General features: G+C 37.2%; 1 long non-coding RNA gene across 1 annotated transcript in view; it reads left to right on the forward strand.

The window, feature by feature from the left end:
* The window catches only part of LOC105374958 (uncharacterized), a 119,161-nt gene that overhangs the window by 27,016 nt on the left and 73,858 nt on the right, over positions 1-18,287 (forward strand). Inside the window, exon 2 of the long non-coding RNA XR_001744010.1 lies at positions 16,493-16,662. This is a non-coding gene — a long non-coding RNA (uncharacterized LOC105374958). The remainder of the gene's footprint in view (positions 1-16,492; positions 16,663-18,287) is intronic.

An 18,287-nucleotide genomic window follows, 5' to 3' on the forward strand; every position in this document is an offset into this window, starting at 1 on the left:
TTAGTAGCAGTTTGTGTCATTAGTATGTTCAATCTTAGCATTTAGTGAGCATATAGTTTTATTCGTTGGATTTAAATTACACTCTGGGCTGACTAATGAGATTTGTTCTATTTTTATATGTTTTTTGATGATTTGAATACGTTTTTTGATGAAATGCCCTTTCAAACATTTTAAACATTTTTTAAAAGTTGGTTGGTTGCTTTGACTTGATTTTTTGGTAGAAGTTCTTTACATATTTCACACATGATTCCATTCTCGACATATGCATGGCAAGAATTTTTTACTCTGTGGCCTGCCTTATTACTCTTATGAATCTTTTGATAAACATAGGCTTTTCATTTCAATATGATCCAATTTTTCAAGGCTTTTCATTTTGGTTAGTTTTTCTTTAAAAAAAACCTCTGCCTAGATGCGATTTTTTAGAATGGTTATTAATTTACCTTTAACTGGCTGGGCACTATGGCTCACTCTTGTAGTTCCAGCACTTTGGGAGTCTGAGGCAACCAGATCACTTGAGCCCAGGAGTTTAAGACTACCCTTGGAAAATGGCAAAACCCTATCTCTATAAAAAATACAAAAAAATTAACTGGATGTGGTGATGCATGCCAGCAGTCCCAGATACTCGGGAGGCTGAAGTGGGAAGATTGCCTGAGCCCAGGAGGTTGAGGTTGCAGTGAGCCAAGAACGTACCACTACACTCCAGCCTGGGTGACAGAGCAAAACCCTATCTCAAAAAGAAAATTACCTTTAACTTTTTGATCTATGGACCATCTGGAATTAATTTTTGTGCATGGGGTGAGGTATGGATAAAATTTACGTTTTTTCCATATAGATATTCAATGAACCTAATGCTGTTTATTGAAAAGGCCATCTTTCCGGGCGTGGTGGCTCACGCCTGTAATCCCAGCACTTTGGGAGGCCGAGGCGGGTGGATCATGAGGTCAGGAAATCGAGACCATCCTGGCTAACACAGTGAAACCCCGTCTCTACTAAAAATACAAAAAATTAGCCGGGAGCGGTGGCGGGCTCCTGTAGTCCCAGCTACTTGAGAGGCTGAGGCAGGAGAATGGCGTGAACCCAGGAGGCGGAGCTTGCAGTGAGCCGAGATCGCGCCACTGCACTCCAGCCTGGGCGACAGAGCCAGACGCTGTCTCAAAAAAAAAAAAAAAAAAAAAAAGAAGAAAAGGCCATCTTTTTTTCACTGTGGTATAGTGGTATCTCTTTATAAACTGATTATTGCATATTTGAGTGCATTTCTTTATTCTACTAATATTCTTTATTAATATTTATTCTATTCCATTGATCTATTTAGCTACCCTTATAATAATACCATGCTGCCCGAATCATTATAGCTTTAAAGTAAGTCACAAGATTTCAGAGTAAGACCTCTAACTTTGTTCTGTTTCTTCAAAATTATCTTGACTATTTTTTTTTTTTTTTTTCTGAGACGGGGTTTTGCTCTGTCACCCAGGCTGGAGTGCAATGGCCTGATCTCAGCTCACCGCAACCTCCGCCTCCCAGGATCGAACGATTCTCCTGCCTCAGCCTCACAAGTAGCTGGGATTACAGGTGCCCGCCACCACGCCCAGCTAATTTTTTGTATTTTTAGTAGAGATGGGGTTTCACCATGTTGCCCAGGCTGGTCGTGAACTCCTGACCTCGGATGATCCACCCGCCTTGGCCTCACAAAGTGCTAGGATTACAGGCGTGAACCACCGTGCCCGGCCTATCTTGGCTATTTTTTGACCTCATAATTTGTACACAAATTTTAGGATGGGTTTACCTACTTTCACAAAACTAATCAAATATTAATTCTGATTGTTTTATATTTATGCTTCAATTAAAAATGTTTATGTTTAAAATATGGAGTCTTTCAATCTATGAGTATAGCGCATTCCTTCATTTACTTAGGTGTCTATTTTCTCTCATAATGATCCTCATTTTGTCATAGCAGATTGTAGTATAGTCTCAAGGCTCTCTCCTGCCCACCTTATTTCCCTCCATTCCCCATCATTTGTGCATCTTTCTAAACTCTTTGAACTTTGTAGCATGTCTAGAATACAAAAGGCTATTTCTTACTTCCTTGCCTTTGCATGATATTTTTTTTCCTATTTCTCAAAATTTTTCTTCTCTTCTGTGTCTTGCAATTTCCAGAAATAGTTGAAAACAAAGCTCAACTCCAATTGTCTCTGTTAAATCTTCCCTTGCAGAGTAAATGATATTGTCCTACAAGCACTGATAACACTTTTCCTATCACTGTATTTAATTAATTTATATCACTGTTTCTTCCACTAAAATGAACTCCTCAAGGGGCAAGAACTGCATTTCATTTGCCTTTGTGCCACCAGTACCTTGCACAATTCTTAGCTGAGCAAGAGTTCAACTAGGCCAGGCACAGTGGCTCATGCCTGTGATCCCAACACTTTAGGAGGCCAAGGCAGGAGGATTGCTTGAGCCCAGGAGTTCAAGACCAGCCTGGGCAACATGGCAAGACCCTCTCTCCATGAAAAAAAAAATTAAGAGAAAAAAAATTAGCTGGGTGTGGTGGCATACGCCTCTGGTCCCAACTACTTGAGAATCTGAGGCAGGAGGATTGCTTAAGCCCAGGGGTTCAAGGCGGCAGTGAGCTGTGTTCATGCCACTGCACTCTAGCCTGGGTAACAGAGCAAGATTATCTCAAAAAAAAAAGTTTAACTATTATTTGCCAAATGAATGAATGTGTCCTCATTAGCTAATCTGAACCAATTTATGTACTCAGGCACACTAAATTAGACATAACTTTATATGACTTTCAGGTTTCAGTGTGTCTCAGGGTTACCTGGTATTTAAAATAAACTAAGAGAAAATATAACAAATATACCTTAAAATCCACATCTCAAGAAAAATCTAAGAAACTTCCTATTTCTGCGTTCCCAAGTCTATTGTAGTTTAGTTTAGTGACTCTTGTGTATTCCACCGAACGACTACATCAGGATCATATGCAGTGAAATATCAGATCCCCTGGCCCCAAACCTGAACTCAGAACTTCCGAATCAGAAAAAAGGGGCTTGAATGTACGCATTTCTTACAAGTGTCTGAGATAATACTCATCGACATTGACTTTTGAGATTCACGAGCCTAGAAATGGCCTTTTGAGTCATTCTTTTAAATGAAAGCCCTAGATCTGCAAGCAGAACTATCCTTTGAGGATTATGGCTTTAGCATCTCTCCCTGGCTTTCGTTCCCTCTGGGAGGAGGCAGAGTAGTCTGAAATTAGGCTTCCAGAATTAGAGTAGTCTGAAGGCTTTAGCAGCAGGCTGTTTCAGTTAAAAACATAGAATATGTAAGAATCTAATATATCAGAGCTAAGGATAAAGGGAAGCCTAAAGAGAACTGTGTCCTGTTATTATTACGGAAATCCTCCATATTGGATGCCAATCCAGGTCAAAGTTGATTGACTCCTTAGTTCCTGTCCATCCTAGTTTAACCATTGTGTTTCCACCTGTGGTGACATGGACATGGTCCAGAAACTGACACTTCCAATTCTATTTCAATTTTAAGAACACTTAAAGAGCAGTCCCTGAGGGTCAGGATTGGCCATTCGTGGTAGTCCATATAAAAAGCAAAAGAAGAAGTAAGTGGATTATTTCTTCCCCATCCAGGGCACCATGGCCATCTGGATTGCAGATATACAGGTGTGTGTGTGTGTGTGTGTGTGTGTGTTTGTGTGTGTTTTCTAGAAAGAAAATACTCATTTCTTGTCCCCCTTTTCCCTTCAACAATGTAAGCCATTTTATTCCACCCAGGAGCTTTGTAATGAAAAAGGTCCCTTGTCTTTTGATGACTTCCAATGAATAATGGTTTGTAACACTAAAATGCCAAACTGCAGGGAAATGGAGGGAACTCGGTTGGTTTACAGGTAAGCAAAGTCAGAACTAAGTAAAAACCCTTTAAACTCCTGGGCAGAATGCCAACTAGAAGAATATTTCAGCATCACCTAATTATGATAAGGATTTTTTTATTTCTTCATTATAAATATCTTTCTACACTCACTTTGGCTTCCTGAAGTTTGCATGCTCAGAGATAGGTGAATAACAGCATGAAGAGAGAAAACTGTGCTGCATTTGGAATCAAAGTGTTCAATTATTGGGAGAATGTAGTCCCTGGGACATATGCTGAGGCAGTAAGGGCTGGTCCATTTCCAGATGGAGCTCTTGCACCAAAACCACAGAAGGATTGTGAATTTGATTTCTCATCTAACAAAGCTTCATTTCAAATACAGCTTCCTGAGGATCCTGCTCTGAAACAGATTTACAAGAGAGCCAACAAAGACCGTGTAAAAATAGTTCTAAGCAAAGATCATGTAATAAATGCATAATAATCTCTAGTATCTGTAGACTACCATAATTATCACTAAGTCAAATTACTCAATAATTCCAGACCAATGCTTCCATTGCTATTTGAGGGAAGATACTGATCACAAACGTGACAGTTCTTCTTTGGGGACAGGTCATATCAAGGTGTCAATATTAAGATGAAGCTTCCTTGAAACTTCTCTAATGTTGGAGCGTGATGAGCTTTAGAAAAATGGTGATAAGTAAAAGGGACCTACACTTCCCTACGATATTCAAAAGATCTTCTGAAATTAGCAGATATTAAAGAGTCATGAGCATGAAGGGTATAGTCTAACCCAATACCGGCTGCACAGTTAAATGTGCCTAAAATGTGACATATATCGGTGGTATCAAAATTTCCAGCAAAGGAATAGAGACCCCAGTGCTCGTGAAATCATGAATTGCCCACAGTCAATTCCAGGACGAAATTTACTCACATGGAATGATATTAATATTTGCTCAGAGTAGACTATTAGTTCTCAAAATATTGTGAAAGCAAATATGTCAGAAACACTAGAGGCAATTCTCTGATCACTGACACAATGTTCATCTTAGTAAAGGTATGATAGAACCTGAAATTAATTTTGTTAATTCTATATGTGAAACAAAGATGAGGTGTCTAATATGAGTCCCAGCTGCAGTGAGTTGAGATATAGGCGGGATAATGAATCATCTGATGTCTAATGTACATCATAATCATTATATCACTGGCAGAGCACAGGCAGTGTCTCTCAACCCAGGTAGCCTATGCTGGGGAGTTTTAAAAATATTGATGACTGTGGTTCTCCCCTCTTATTCTTATTATTTAATAAATCTGGGGTATGCCCTGGGAATCAGTATTTTTTAAAGCTCCCCCAGGTGACTGTAATGTACTACCAAGGCCATGTGCCACTAATCACTGGTGTAGGGCATTGTTTCTCAACTTTGTACATGTTAAAAATCACCTGAGAAACTTTATAAATATCCCAATGTAGTCTGTATCCCAATGTAGTCATCCCAGACCAATTAAATCAGAATGAGAAACTTCTAGATATAGGATTAAAAAAAAAGAGTCAGCCTAGGTCATTGCATTTTGCAACCAGGGTTGGGAGTTACAGACAAAGGGTTAGCTTTCTCACAAAGCAAGTTAAATGCATTTTAGTAGCTTTCTAATTTAAAGAATTCTTGCCTGTAAAACATTATTTTGATTGTCAGGAGTCTATCATATATATGTATACGTATTCATTCATACACATACGCTCATGATGGGATTGCATTGAACTTGAATATTTGTATCAGAATTTCAACATCAGAAAATACTGGCAGAAAAGGCACTGGAGTTTCTTTTTTCCTTTTTAATTTGTAAAACTGGGACAGATGATTCTCATCTCAGGTTCTGTGAGTAGAAAATCTTTCCTCCAGGAGATACTGTCATTCAGCTGTTCAAATCCTAACGTGCTTAAAAATTGCTGATGTGCTACTTTTTTTTCTTTCCAAAGGAGTTGGTTATGAAACATCTAAAAATGAAGCATGAAACAAAAGAGAGAGTTAACTTATAATTGCTCTGTTGAAACATTTCGTGCAGATCTTGGCAGATTGGTGAATCCATTTGCAAATCTCGAAATTTGGAAATCAGCAGTTCTTAGGTATACAGAGTCATTATATTCAAGGATTATGTCACTGTATTTGCAAATGCTAAGTGGGTTTTGAACAAATGAAAGATTGAATAAAAGATTAATTAATATTATATGTACCAAACGTATCACTAGGTGCTTCTAAAATCTTTTACTCATGTAACACTGATAAAATTTCTGTGATTCATAATTTTATTATACATGTTTTTAAAATTAAGAAAATGCAAGCTCATAGAAGTTAAGGAATTTTCTCAATATCATACCACTACAAAGTATCAGAGATAGATGATCTCAGATCATCTGCTCCATTGAAGGGCCAGTTTTCGTTAATATGTCCAATAAGGTTTTTTTTCTCCTTATTTCCTCTATCTCTACATAACTAACATTTGTGAATGGCCTTCTATACCCTCATTTAATTGATGATAAATGCACAATATGGTCTCCATTAACCAGAACTCAAGGGATTGTGACCTTCTGCTGGTGTCAATCCCTTTGCTGTTCCAGTTTCTGTTAGATCATCCTAAAATGTATCATTTAGAAATTTTGCCTTAGTAGGTACAGGTCAGTGAATAAAATTTCTACTTTGATGATTTATTGCTTTTCAGAGCCCACGGGGAAAATCAGGTACCACTGTAAAACATAGAAAAAGATAAACTTTTTCAGGTCATTTATGAGTTCCTCCTAAAAGCAATGTTCAGGAAAATATTAAGTTAATCAAAACATCATATAATATTTTATTGATAGCAGAGGCCAAATGTTTAATTTTATGTATCTTCAGTACATAGCAACATAACTTCCATCCAGCAGGCAATTGGCAGATTGTTGTGGCAAGGATAGCAATAGAGATTTGAGGCTTTCTGATATTACCTACCTATACCAACCGTTTCTCTAATTCTATTTTTTTATTTTAATCTCAGATATGCATAGGCACGGACACACAACATTATGGAGGGAAAAGAAAACCTCTTGTTAAATACTTTTACCTTGAAGAGAAAATTTCATTCTCCAAGAATGCTTATATATTCAAAGGCTTTAAAAATAATACTTTTAAGTCTGGGGTAAAGGATGCTCAAGTGTTCATCTGGAAACAGCTGGACATTCTTAGAAAATGCCTCTTTTACTTATCCCTATTCATTCCCACTATGTTAGTTTCCTATTGTGCTGTAACAAATTACCACAAGCAATGATGTAAAACAACACAATTTTATTATCTTATGGTCTGTAGGTTCAGATCTCTACCATGGTTCTTACCGATCTAAAATCAAGGTGTTGGCAGGGCTATATGCCTTTCTGGAGGCAGAATCTGATTCCTTTCATTTTTCAGCTTCTAGGGAATGTCTTCATTTCTTGGCTAGTGGTCCCTTCCTCAATTTTCAAAGCCAACAACAATACATCTCCCTGATATTTCTTCCATTCTCACATCTCTCTCTCACCTCAACCAGGACAAGGGATTAGGTTGGGCCCAACTGTACAATTCAGGAAAACTTTTTCATCTCAGGGACCTTAACTTACCTGGAAAAAGAGCCTTTGCAGATTAAGGTAACATATCCACAGGTTTCAGGAATTAGAGGACAATATTTGGGGGGAAAAGGGGCAATGTTTTGCCTACCACACCCTTTTTTATCCAATGTCCTCTAGCCTTCTCTCTTTTCTAATATCTTCAGATTTTTTTTTTTTTTTTGTGGTGCTGTGGGGAAAACTACATATTTGCTGCAGCCCAAAGTGGCATTATTGGTATAAGGAACTCTGAGATCTGAAATATCTCTTCATGATTTTGGAGGCAGGAAATTCTGGGACATTTGAAGAGTGAAAAATCTCAAAGATAGATCAGTTGTAACAACCAAAAGGAGAGACGAAAAGATTGGAACAGAAAGCAGGATGTGAACAGACTATTTATGAGCACTGGGCATGGATCATCAGCCTCTCTGAAAGGAGAGGAGGCAAGGGTAAAACTTTCTCCAGTATATCGTGTCAAGGATGCTGCCCTTCATTGCAAAGGCTGAAGGGGAAGAGCAGTCCACTTCCTTTTGCAGATGGTGGGATATTATTCCATGGTGGTGCTCAACTCTTCTGATACCTGTAAGACTTCTCTCCAATAAACTAGAGTGAAGTGAAAAGATATTTAAGTTAAACAAAAACCAAATCTCTCTTTTCTCCTTCATATTCATCTTCTTTCCAACCCACCTCTGTAAAGGTACAAGAGCCCACTTGTGTTCTACAGTAATTGCCATTAAAGCAGACCTGCATTCTGAGACACAGAAGAGAATTAAGTGAACAAGGAACAAGTCCCTATTATGTGTCAGACCCTCTCCCTCTCTCTTAGTTCTTTTAATATTGAGTTAATATTGGTAAGCTTTTGGAAGGAATCTCAGGATGAATAACACTTGAGAAGTAGCAGTGAGAGATTTGAATTTAAGCTCTTTCTCCAAAGACCTGTTTTTTTTTTCCCTCCCCAAAACTGATTAGGCAGCGGAGCAGGCATTGGCTGAAATTTTGTAATATTGATTAAAGTTAAGATGTAGGCAACAATGAAGAATTACTAGTTTTCCTTAAAGTTTTTTAACATTTTAAGAACAGTATTTGGATGCAGAATACAATAAATGATTGCTATTAATATTTAGAGTCTTGATTTAAATTACCATTAAAGCCTTTCTTTCTGCACATTAGAAAAGCAGCCACGGCATGTACGCAATAATGTATTTCTCACTCAGCTTATTCAATGGTGCAACTATTATGTAAAAGGCTATGAGTTAATCTTGAAGAAGATGCAAAGTATAAAGGACATGATTTTGGCTTCAAAGATCATATGGCATAGGGGAGGATCACACAATAGAACAAATAAAATGAAAGGTAAAATATAAATGCCATAAGGGTGATGGTGCAAAGTGCTATGAAAATATATTATCCAAGGCACTCAGGATAGATTTCATGAAATGGTATTTGCTTCATCATAAGTTGTGACATATTTACAGGATCTGGCAAAACAAAAAACAAGAAGATGGAGGCAGTAATAGGCAGAGGCCTGAGGAGACAGATATAGATGGCTGATTAATGAGATTCCCTAGCGTTCCCATTGCCCATATGCTAGACTGAGTCATCATGATCAGTGGAGCTTCGCAGAGAAAACTTCAGATCACTGTAATCTGAGTCATTAGTCAGTTTCCAAAAATAAGATCATTTTACATAGGTAAAGATTATATGGTAGATTAATTGTAAAAATAGCCCAAACTTCCCACTGCTTTTCATATCCAAACTTTTTGCAATGTCATACAGCTTTCCTCATCAAGAGACTGCAGGGGTGGAGGAACGTATCTCTTTCTCCAACCCTTAAACATGGTTTGACCCTATGATTTGCACTGGCCAAAAGAATGCAAGTAAAAGTGTGTGTTGGTTCAAGAAGACTTAAACAATTCCACTTCCTTTTTTGGAAAATCGCCAAAACCATGGGACTAAGCATAGAGCACATGAAATAGGGCTAAGTCATTCCAGTTGTTTCAACTGAGTCCTGAGATATAGGAGACAGTCCAGCTAGAGCAACATAACTGGAAGTCAAAAAGGAGGAGGGGAATATAAATCTACTCTTTCAAGTTTCTTATAGTGTTATTGAAGTGGTATATTATTTGAAGGCAGACTCATCAATTAAAGATGCAAATGACTATTACAAAATAAAATGACATTATTATAGATACAGAAAATAAAAATAGTCTACAAGAAGACACAAAATGAAGTAAAAAAGAATAAAGAACAAATGAAACAAATAGAAAAATATCAAGAGGATTTATATAATACCAACTATATAGAAATTGCATTGAATTTAAACAGTCTAATTAAAAAACATTAGCTGTTAGACTGGGTTAAAAAGCAAACACAGCTATACACTGTCTACAAGAATATACTCCAAATATAAAAATATATTTCGTTTAATATAACATGCAGATAAAAATCAAGAGAAAATTAGAATGGCCATACTAATACTGATCAAAGCACATATCAGATAAAGGAATATTATCAGAAATAAAAAGGGACATTTCATCACGGAGTAAATTCACCAAGAGGGTATAACACCCTTAAATGTGTATGCACCAAATAACAGAACCTCAAAACATACCAGGAGAAAAATATTACCAAACTGAAATTAGCAATAGACAAACTCTCTGTTATAGCTGGCTATTTTAATACTTCTTTCTCAGTAGTTAATAAAACAAGTAGTTATAAATGTCAGTTGGATATTGAAGACTTGAAAAACACAATCACCAACTTCACTGAAGTAGCACTGTTGATGGAAATGTGAAATGTTTCAACCATATATATATATATATATATATATATATATATATATATATATATATTTGAATATAATTTTTTTTTGAGCCCGAGTCTCACTCTGTCACCCAGGCTGGAGTGCAATGGCACATTCTCGGCTCACTGCAACCTCCACCTCCCAGGTTCAAGCGATTCTCCTGCCTCAGCCTCCTGAGTAGCTGGGATTACAGGTGCACACCACCACGCCTGGCTAATTTTGTATTTTTAGTAGAGATGAGAGTAGACCATGTTGGTCAGGCCGGTCTTGAACTCCTGATCTTGTGATCCACTTGCCTTGGCCTCCCCAAAGTGCTGGGATTACAGGCGTGAGCCACCATGCCCGGCCAATTTCAACCACTTTGGAAAACAGTTTGGAAGCTCCTTATCTTAATATATATCCCTACCACTTCATTCCTAGGTATTTACCCAAGAGAAATGGAGCCGTGTATACACACAAAGACAAGTATATGAATGTTCTTGAAACTTATTAACTTCCAGCCCCAAAGTAGAAACAAGTAGTGCATCACAATAAACAAATTGTAGTATATTCACATGAGAGAAAACTACTCAGAAACAAAAATCAAGATCCACGCAACAAGTGGGTCTCTAAAAACATCATACTGTGCAAATGACCCAGAAGAGTTGATTGCTATGGTTCAATTCACATGAAATTCCAAAAAATGCAAGTGACAGATGTAGGTAAATACTTTCCCTAGGGTTAAGGAGGAATGAAGGCCCCTCATGCAAAGGGGCACAGATAAACTTTTTGGTTTTATGAAAATGTTCTATACCTTTATTATGAAGGTGGTTACACAGATGTATACAGCTGCCAAAACTCATTGAACTGTACACTTAAAATAGGTGTAGTTTACTGAAGGAGGGTCATACTTGTATAAGATTGATTATCAAAAAGAATGTGTCTTACCCCATTCTTAACACCAGCTCCATTTAGATAAATATAACATATACCCAGTGTGTTAATTAGGAAATAATGATCTTAAGAAAGAACATTCTGTAGAATAACATCTGGCTAGGTGAATTTATATCTTGAGATTTTTAATTAAAATTGGTGCTGCCTTCCTCTTTTCTGAAATGGAAATGTGAACACAAATGAGTTTCATCTAGAAGGGAAATCCACAGCTATTACAAGTTCCTTTTCTTGATTAAGATGATACAACAAGGAACACAAATGAAGCACCCAAATAAAAATAGACTGTCTATACTTGTGTTATTCCTGAATGTCTGATGAATGATGCATTGTGGTTACCTAGATATGTTAGCTACATGGACAACTGAGCACTAACCCCCTGCTTTATAATTCTTTCAGTCCTTATTGAACATGAAGAATCAAAAACAGAAAACATTCTAAGTGATATTTATAAGTGGGTTGAGAGATAGCAGAGAAAGAGACTATTTTAGCAAATGGAAAATAATAAATCTGGTTTCAGACATATTAAATTAGAGGTGCCTATAGAATCTCCAGTTGAAGATATCCAGTAAGTAGATAGTGCCACAAGCTTGAGCTTTAATAAAAGTCAGTGGTGCTGCTGGGGATATGGATGTGGAAAGAAAGATTGGGAGGTTGAAGAGAAGAGAAGGGGAAAGAAGGAAATGGTTAATATCTATTATATACTTTTTTAAAGTTGTATGGTTAAAGAAAGGAAAACTTAAAGAGAACTTGCTAGGGATAAAAAAGGCCAGAATATATTTCCCAGCTGAAGCATAGAAATTAGCAAAGAGAATTAAGTATAAGATAGAAACACTGGATTTGTGTGGTCTCCATGGAGATGGAAATGCAATAAAGAGCACAACCCGAGTGGCAACGTTGAATTTGAAAAGGAAGAAGATATTGATCTGGGGAATACAGGAAAGAGAACTGGCTGGATTCAAATTATTGTCTATCTTACACACACACACACACATACACATACACACACCACTCTCATATTTAAAGTTTGACAGCAAGAAAATTGAAGGGGCTTGAGAGGACAGAAAAAACTGGGGTAAAGTCAGAGGCTTTCTTACAAAGCTGACATTTATAAACTTGTAAAGGCCCACTCTGAAACTTTATTACAAAATTACTCAACAACACTGATGACCTGGAAGCAAGAGTTGAATGACAACTGGTTTATTAGGAATTTCATTTGGGATTAGTGTATGACCAATATAAGAGGAAACTTTCATATGACCTTTTGTGTTTGAAACTTGTGACATATCTATTGATTGGGCATCTAAAGATTGCAAAGCAAGGATTTGGGAAAACTTTTAGAGCAAGAAAAATAGTAGCTAATGGGGACCTTTTGGGTGTTAGAGAAGGAAATAAGGCCATTGAGTATGGAAGATTAATTTTCAAGGTGGATGTCCTGCTGGAGAGAGAAGGAATTCACTGGAGAAAGAACATTTAGTATGTTTAGGGACTGGAGAACTTGGAGGAACAGGCTCAGAACCAAGTTTATGTCAGAGGAAGGAATAGTGGCTGAAAATGTACTGTGAGAAGCTTATAAAAATTGTCTTCCTTATGATTTTTTATTTCTAACTACAGTTCTACATCTTCAGTACCACCTTCCTTTTTCCATCTCATTCAGTGCACTGGGACAATGGAAGAAGCAAATATAGATGTGAGGGAGGACAGTAGAGGCCATGTTTTCTTTTTGGTCCGTGGATCTCAAAATCAACACCTGGGACAATGGAAGAAGCAAATATAGATGTGAGGGAGAACAGTAGAGGCCATGTTTTCTTTTTGGTCCGTGGATCTCAAAATCAACACATGGGACAGGGTAGAGGGGAGGAAATGGATCAGAGGTGGGAGGTAGGAGTGAGAAGATCTGAGTAAAATTGGAAACTGAAAATAAGGTCCCAGTGAATGGTGATGGGAGCAATTTGAGCTTTAGGTTCTCCTAAGTACGAAATGGCCTTACGTTGGATATGTGTGTACGTGCCCCAAACCGACTATTCATTCTGTTTATTTACTACTAGTGTAAATATTCTGTGTATACTATCATAATGTTATTGTCATTGTTTTCAAGACTTATATTGGCTAAGTGGTACCGGGGTTCTGGGTTCTGGTCACCTGTGAGCCAGGAAATTTTTCATTGATATTCTCTCTGATCACTTCCAATCCTCTTTATTTCATACTTGGCTTTTAATATTCACTTGAAGAAGAAGAAAAATATATGTGTGTACATTTATATACACACATAAGACAGCTGAATGAAGCAATTTTGTATATCTGAGATCTGAATTCAGTGTGCTTGTCATTTAAACGCTCTATTTGCATGAGATGTATTAAATACTTCTTAAGAGAACAGGGCCCTAGGGGTCATATTTTCTTAAAACAAGACATATACTTCCATTATGTGCTTCTGTGTCTGAAAAGGATGCACAAGTTATATGTATGGAAGTGAAGAATAGTAATACTGAAATGCATCTTATTCCTGAAGGACTTTTCACAGTTGTGAACTACTTTACTTTGTATTACTCAAGTTGATTTTTTTTATCTCTGTGAAATGGTAATAGAGTTTTATGCCGATCACCATAATATAATGATGGCCTGAAATAGAGCAAGAGTTCCCATACAATTTTAAATGATTCATAGCCACTTATAGAATTGAGATCCTTATTACAACTTTTAAAAAGTAAATACAAATGTGTAAAAAAATAGGGCCAAGGTCTGTCATATCCTTATGTATCCAGCTACTATCAAGACGATAATCTCTGGCAGCTGATTAACATGGAGGAAGACATATGTAAGTTGAAAAAGTTCACTTTTAACGTGCTCTGCTAATGTCTCTCTACCTAGTAATTTGGTGAAATAATTTAGTGAGTGCTTCCACAGTAAATAGGTTTATCTTCAAACCTAATGCTCTTTTCCATCTTAACTGAGCATAAAATTATATCTTTAAAGATCTGCAAGTAAGAAAGGCTTGATGCCTCTTGAGCAGTTCAGTGTGACATATGGTTTTAAATGCAACAATTTTATCTGTATCACACAGTATCTGCAAATTTGAGCTAATGTTCCTGTGGAAACAAGAAGGGATTTATGCCCAAAACTAAAGAAGAAGAAGAAAGAATCTTTTTAGCTGCCATATGTAGAACACTGAAAACTGTATATAAATAGAAAACAATATTGACACTTATGCATCTATAATTTCTTTGGAAACATGTTTTTATGTCTAACTATTCAAACATTTATGGTAACAGAAACCTTGAATAAAAATTCCTACAGGGGTCAGGCAGGTAATAAATATACATGAGTGAAACAGGCCCAGTGAGGATTAAGGTAAACCTGAGCGGGTTGCCCTGTCTTAAGCTGGCAAATGTTTCACAAAATCCAACAGACTGTTGCTATGGAATACTGTTGGCCTGCGGTTGCCAGATCTGCCAAATTTTCAAGAGATGCCCCGTAATTTGATCTCATGTAAATTCTCACAATCATATTGGCAACAGGATTTATTTTTAACACAAAGTGTTTTAAAATAACTATTCAGGTCATAGTTGGCATGTGGGCTGCTGATTTGTAACCACTGATGTCTGATGTATGTTGTTAGATTAATGAAAAAACAAATGGTGGGAGGGTGGAAAGTAAAGGAAGAAGGGAAAAAGGAAGGAAAGAAGGGAAAAAGGGAGAAGAAAATCAGTTTTCCACAATATACATAAGGATTTTTTTTAATTTTTATGGGTACATAATATGTGTATATATTTATGGGGTACATGAGATGTTTTGATACAGACATGCAATGTGAAAGAAACACATCATGAAGAATGGGGTATTCATCCCCTCAAGCATTTATCCATTGAATTGCAAACAATCCCACTATACTCTTTAAGTTATTTAAAATGTACAGTTATTATTGACTATAGACTCCCTGTTGTGCTATCAAATAGTAGGTATTGTTCATTCTATCTATTTTTCTTAATACCCATTAAGCACCCCCACTAGTCTCAATAAAGAAAATATCAGGAGTTCTAATTTGAATTTTAATACGAATGAAAATAAAGTTTATTAAAGGATATATGAAACTGATTAAGCCTTGGAACTTCATTTCTTTCTGATGAACTGTATACACCTGGTAAAGAGTGCAAACCTCAGATAGACCATGGAATTGATTTTGTATATTGTGTGAGACAGGGATTAAGATTTATTCTTTTCAAAATTGATATAATATTGACCTCATACCATGTATTGAAAAGACCATTCTTTCCACAATAGTCAACAATGTCATCTTTATTGTAAATCAAATCTATATATAATATACAAATGTATACACACACACATTGACATCTACAGGGAAAGAAAGAAGGAAAGAAAGAATGAAAGAAAGAAAGAAAAAGACAGAAAAGAGGGAGGAAGGAAGGAAGAAAGGATAGTTCTTGACTCCATGTTATATTCCATTATTTGACTATTGCAACAGTACCACACTGTCTTGATTAGTGTAGTTTCATAATAAGTCATATTTGGTAGTGTCTTTCCACTTTGATGGTAGTGGTGTTTTGTTTTGTTTTTTTCCTAGAATGTCTTGGGTGTATGTAGCCGTACATATTAACATATACATTTTAAATGATCTTGTTAATTTCCAATTCCTTTGGAAAGCATTTGAGTACATAGTTAAACCTGTGTACCCAGGCACTCCACTTTAAGTACCTTCCCCAAAGCACTGTAAGCATGATGTAGCAAAAGACATTCAAGAATCCTCATAACAGCACTCTGAAATAGGCAAAATCTAGAAAAATTAAAATGTTCAATACAGTAGAATGAATACATTGTCTTATATTTATACAAGTAAATGCTACACATAGCAATGAAAATGAACTACTACTATAAGTAATGATATGGATGAATCTTACAATATTGAATTAAAGAAACGAGATACATTTGAGTATAAATTGTGATTCTATGTATACAAACCTTAGAAACCAGCAAAGTAAATTGATGGTATTAGAAGTCAGTATATCAGCTCTCTTTGGAGTGTAAGTAATGACTGAGAGTGGTATAGGGAGGGTAATTGGGTACTTGTAATCTTCTTGGCCTGTGTGCTAGTTACACAAGAGGATTTATTTTGTGAAAATTTCTCAAGCTGTACATTTATGATTTATGTACTCTTTTTCTATGCATCTTGTACCTCAATGAAAATTATTTGAATATATGGATATCATACATGAGCCATAATAGCTTCATTTTGGTTCTGTTTTATTTTGTTCTTACAGAGCAAAATTTGGGAACAAATGGAAAAGTCTGTGGATCCATAGTTTCTGCTATAACAAACAAAGCTTTTATGTTTATATTGCACTTCCACGTCAGAAGAACCTGTGGAAGAATCCAGGAAAATGCCTAGTGTCAATGTGAGGAAAGTACATGGATGGCAGCAGACTACCAGGTAACCCAGGAAAGAAACTGTGGAGGAAAAGAGAGAATAAGAGTGGACCAAATGGGCACCTGTATCCTAGACAGGATGTAGAAGTCATATAATTTTGCTTCGTGTTTAGTGAGAATTTTTCTTCCCTTTCCTTCCTTTTCCCTTCCATTTCCTTTCCTTTCCTTTCTTGAAACTTGTATTAACAGCAAACTCATATCGATGCAGCATCAACAGATGAAGCCAAATTTTGCACAAACATCGTAAGATTTCTAACTAACCACTTTAGGATATGTGTGACTTGTGTCCAGTGGCTTATTAGTGTGAACAAAATCACGGAATCAAACGAGCCTGACGACAACTGCATGGAGTGAGAGATTGGGTCTGGGCCACATGGCATACTCCTATTAGTTTTATATTATCAGTTAATAATAATCGTGTGTTACTGTCTCAACAACCCTGTCATGTAGACAAGAAAACGAATGCTGGGGATATTATGTACTTGATTTCAGGTTGTACTAGTGGTAAATCTTGGGCTCTTGCTGCCAAGATTTGAGCCTTTTTCTTAGACTGATTATTTTCAAATGCCTTTTATCTCCATAATTTTATTTTTAAGGAAACTAAAACGGAGAAGTGTAATGCAAAAAACAGACAAAATGGGGCTACTCTGAGTGAGGCTGCATGAGAAGAATATACCAAGGGCTCTTTGTCCCTCCCCTTCACCCTCTCCTTCTTGGTTTCCAGAGCCAGTCTCTCAGGTGAACCTTCCCTGAGCCTGTGTTCTTCTCAGATGGCAGAGTTTGCAGCAAGAGCTCCCATGTAGTAGTTTACTTTTGGATAAGTGGTTTACTTTTGGACTGGGAAGAGAAGAAGAGTTATATAGCTGGCCATCCCTGTGGGCAACTGGAATTCATTCCTGCTAGGACCCTCTGGGGGAATTATACAGAATAAGTTTCAGAAAATTGTCCTGAGGAATGGCAACTTGGGAATGTTTACCTACTGGCTCCTGCCTCCATTGGTCAAGCAATCCCCCTGGGAGTTTTAGCCCTCCTCACATTTCCAGTTTTGCCCCTGTGTGAGCACAGAGTAGGTTCCTGCAGGCGTCGCACGCAGCAGCCCGCATGGGAGGTGACGCACTCGGAACAGAAGGTGAGAGATGCATGGTGCCAATGAGGAGAGGAGCTCTCAGTCTCAACTTCCCCAAAGCTGGTTTGTCCAGGAATGTTGCTGGAGCAAATGGCAGTTTGAGAGATGGAAGGAGGGGTGCAAGCACTGAATACAAACCCTGGGTTAGGCTTTCTGAAACCTGTTTCACAGTGGCCCACTGCCTACATTAGAATCAACTGGCATGCTCCTAAACTGTAAACTCCTGGGCCATGCCCCAGAACTGCTGCATTGGAATCACCTCAGCTGTGATTCTGGAATCTTCATGTTACATGAACATTGTTAGGTGAGTTATGCACAGTAAAGTTTAAGAACAGCTATTGAACATTTGGATTTGGATTCAGCTGTGACCAGTTTTTGCTGGCTTAAACATCCTGACTCAGGGATACCTCTTTTATAAAGGGCTGATACCATTTCTTATCAGGCGAAGCAGTTGCTAATATTAAGTACGGTGAAACAGGAAGGTGATGGAACAATTATTGTGT

The sequence above is a fragment of the Homo sapiens genome, chromosome 6 (assembly GCF_000001405.40).
Source record: "Homo sapiens chromosome 6, GRCh38.p14 Primary Assembly".
NCBI lineage: Eukaryota > Metazoa > Chordata > Mammalia > Primates > Hominidae > Homo > Homo sapiens.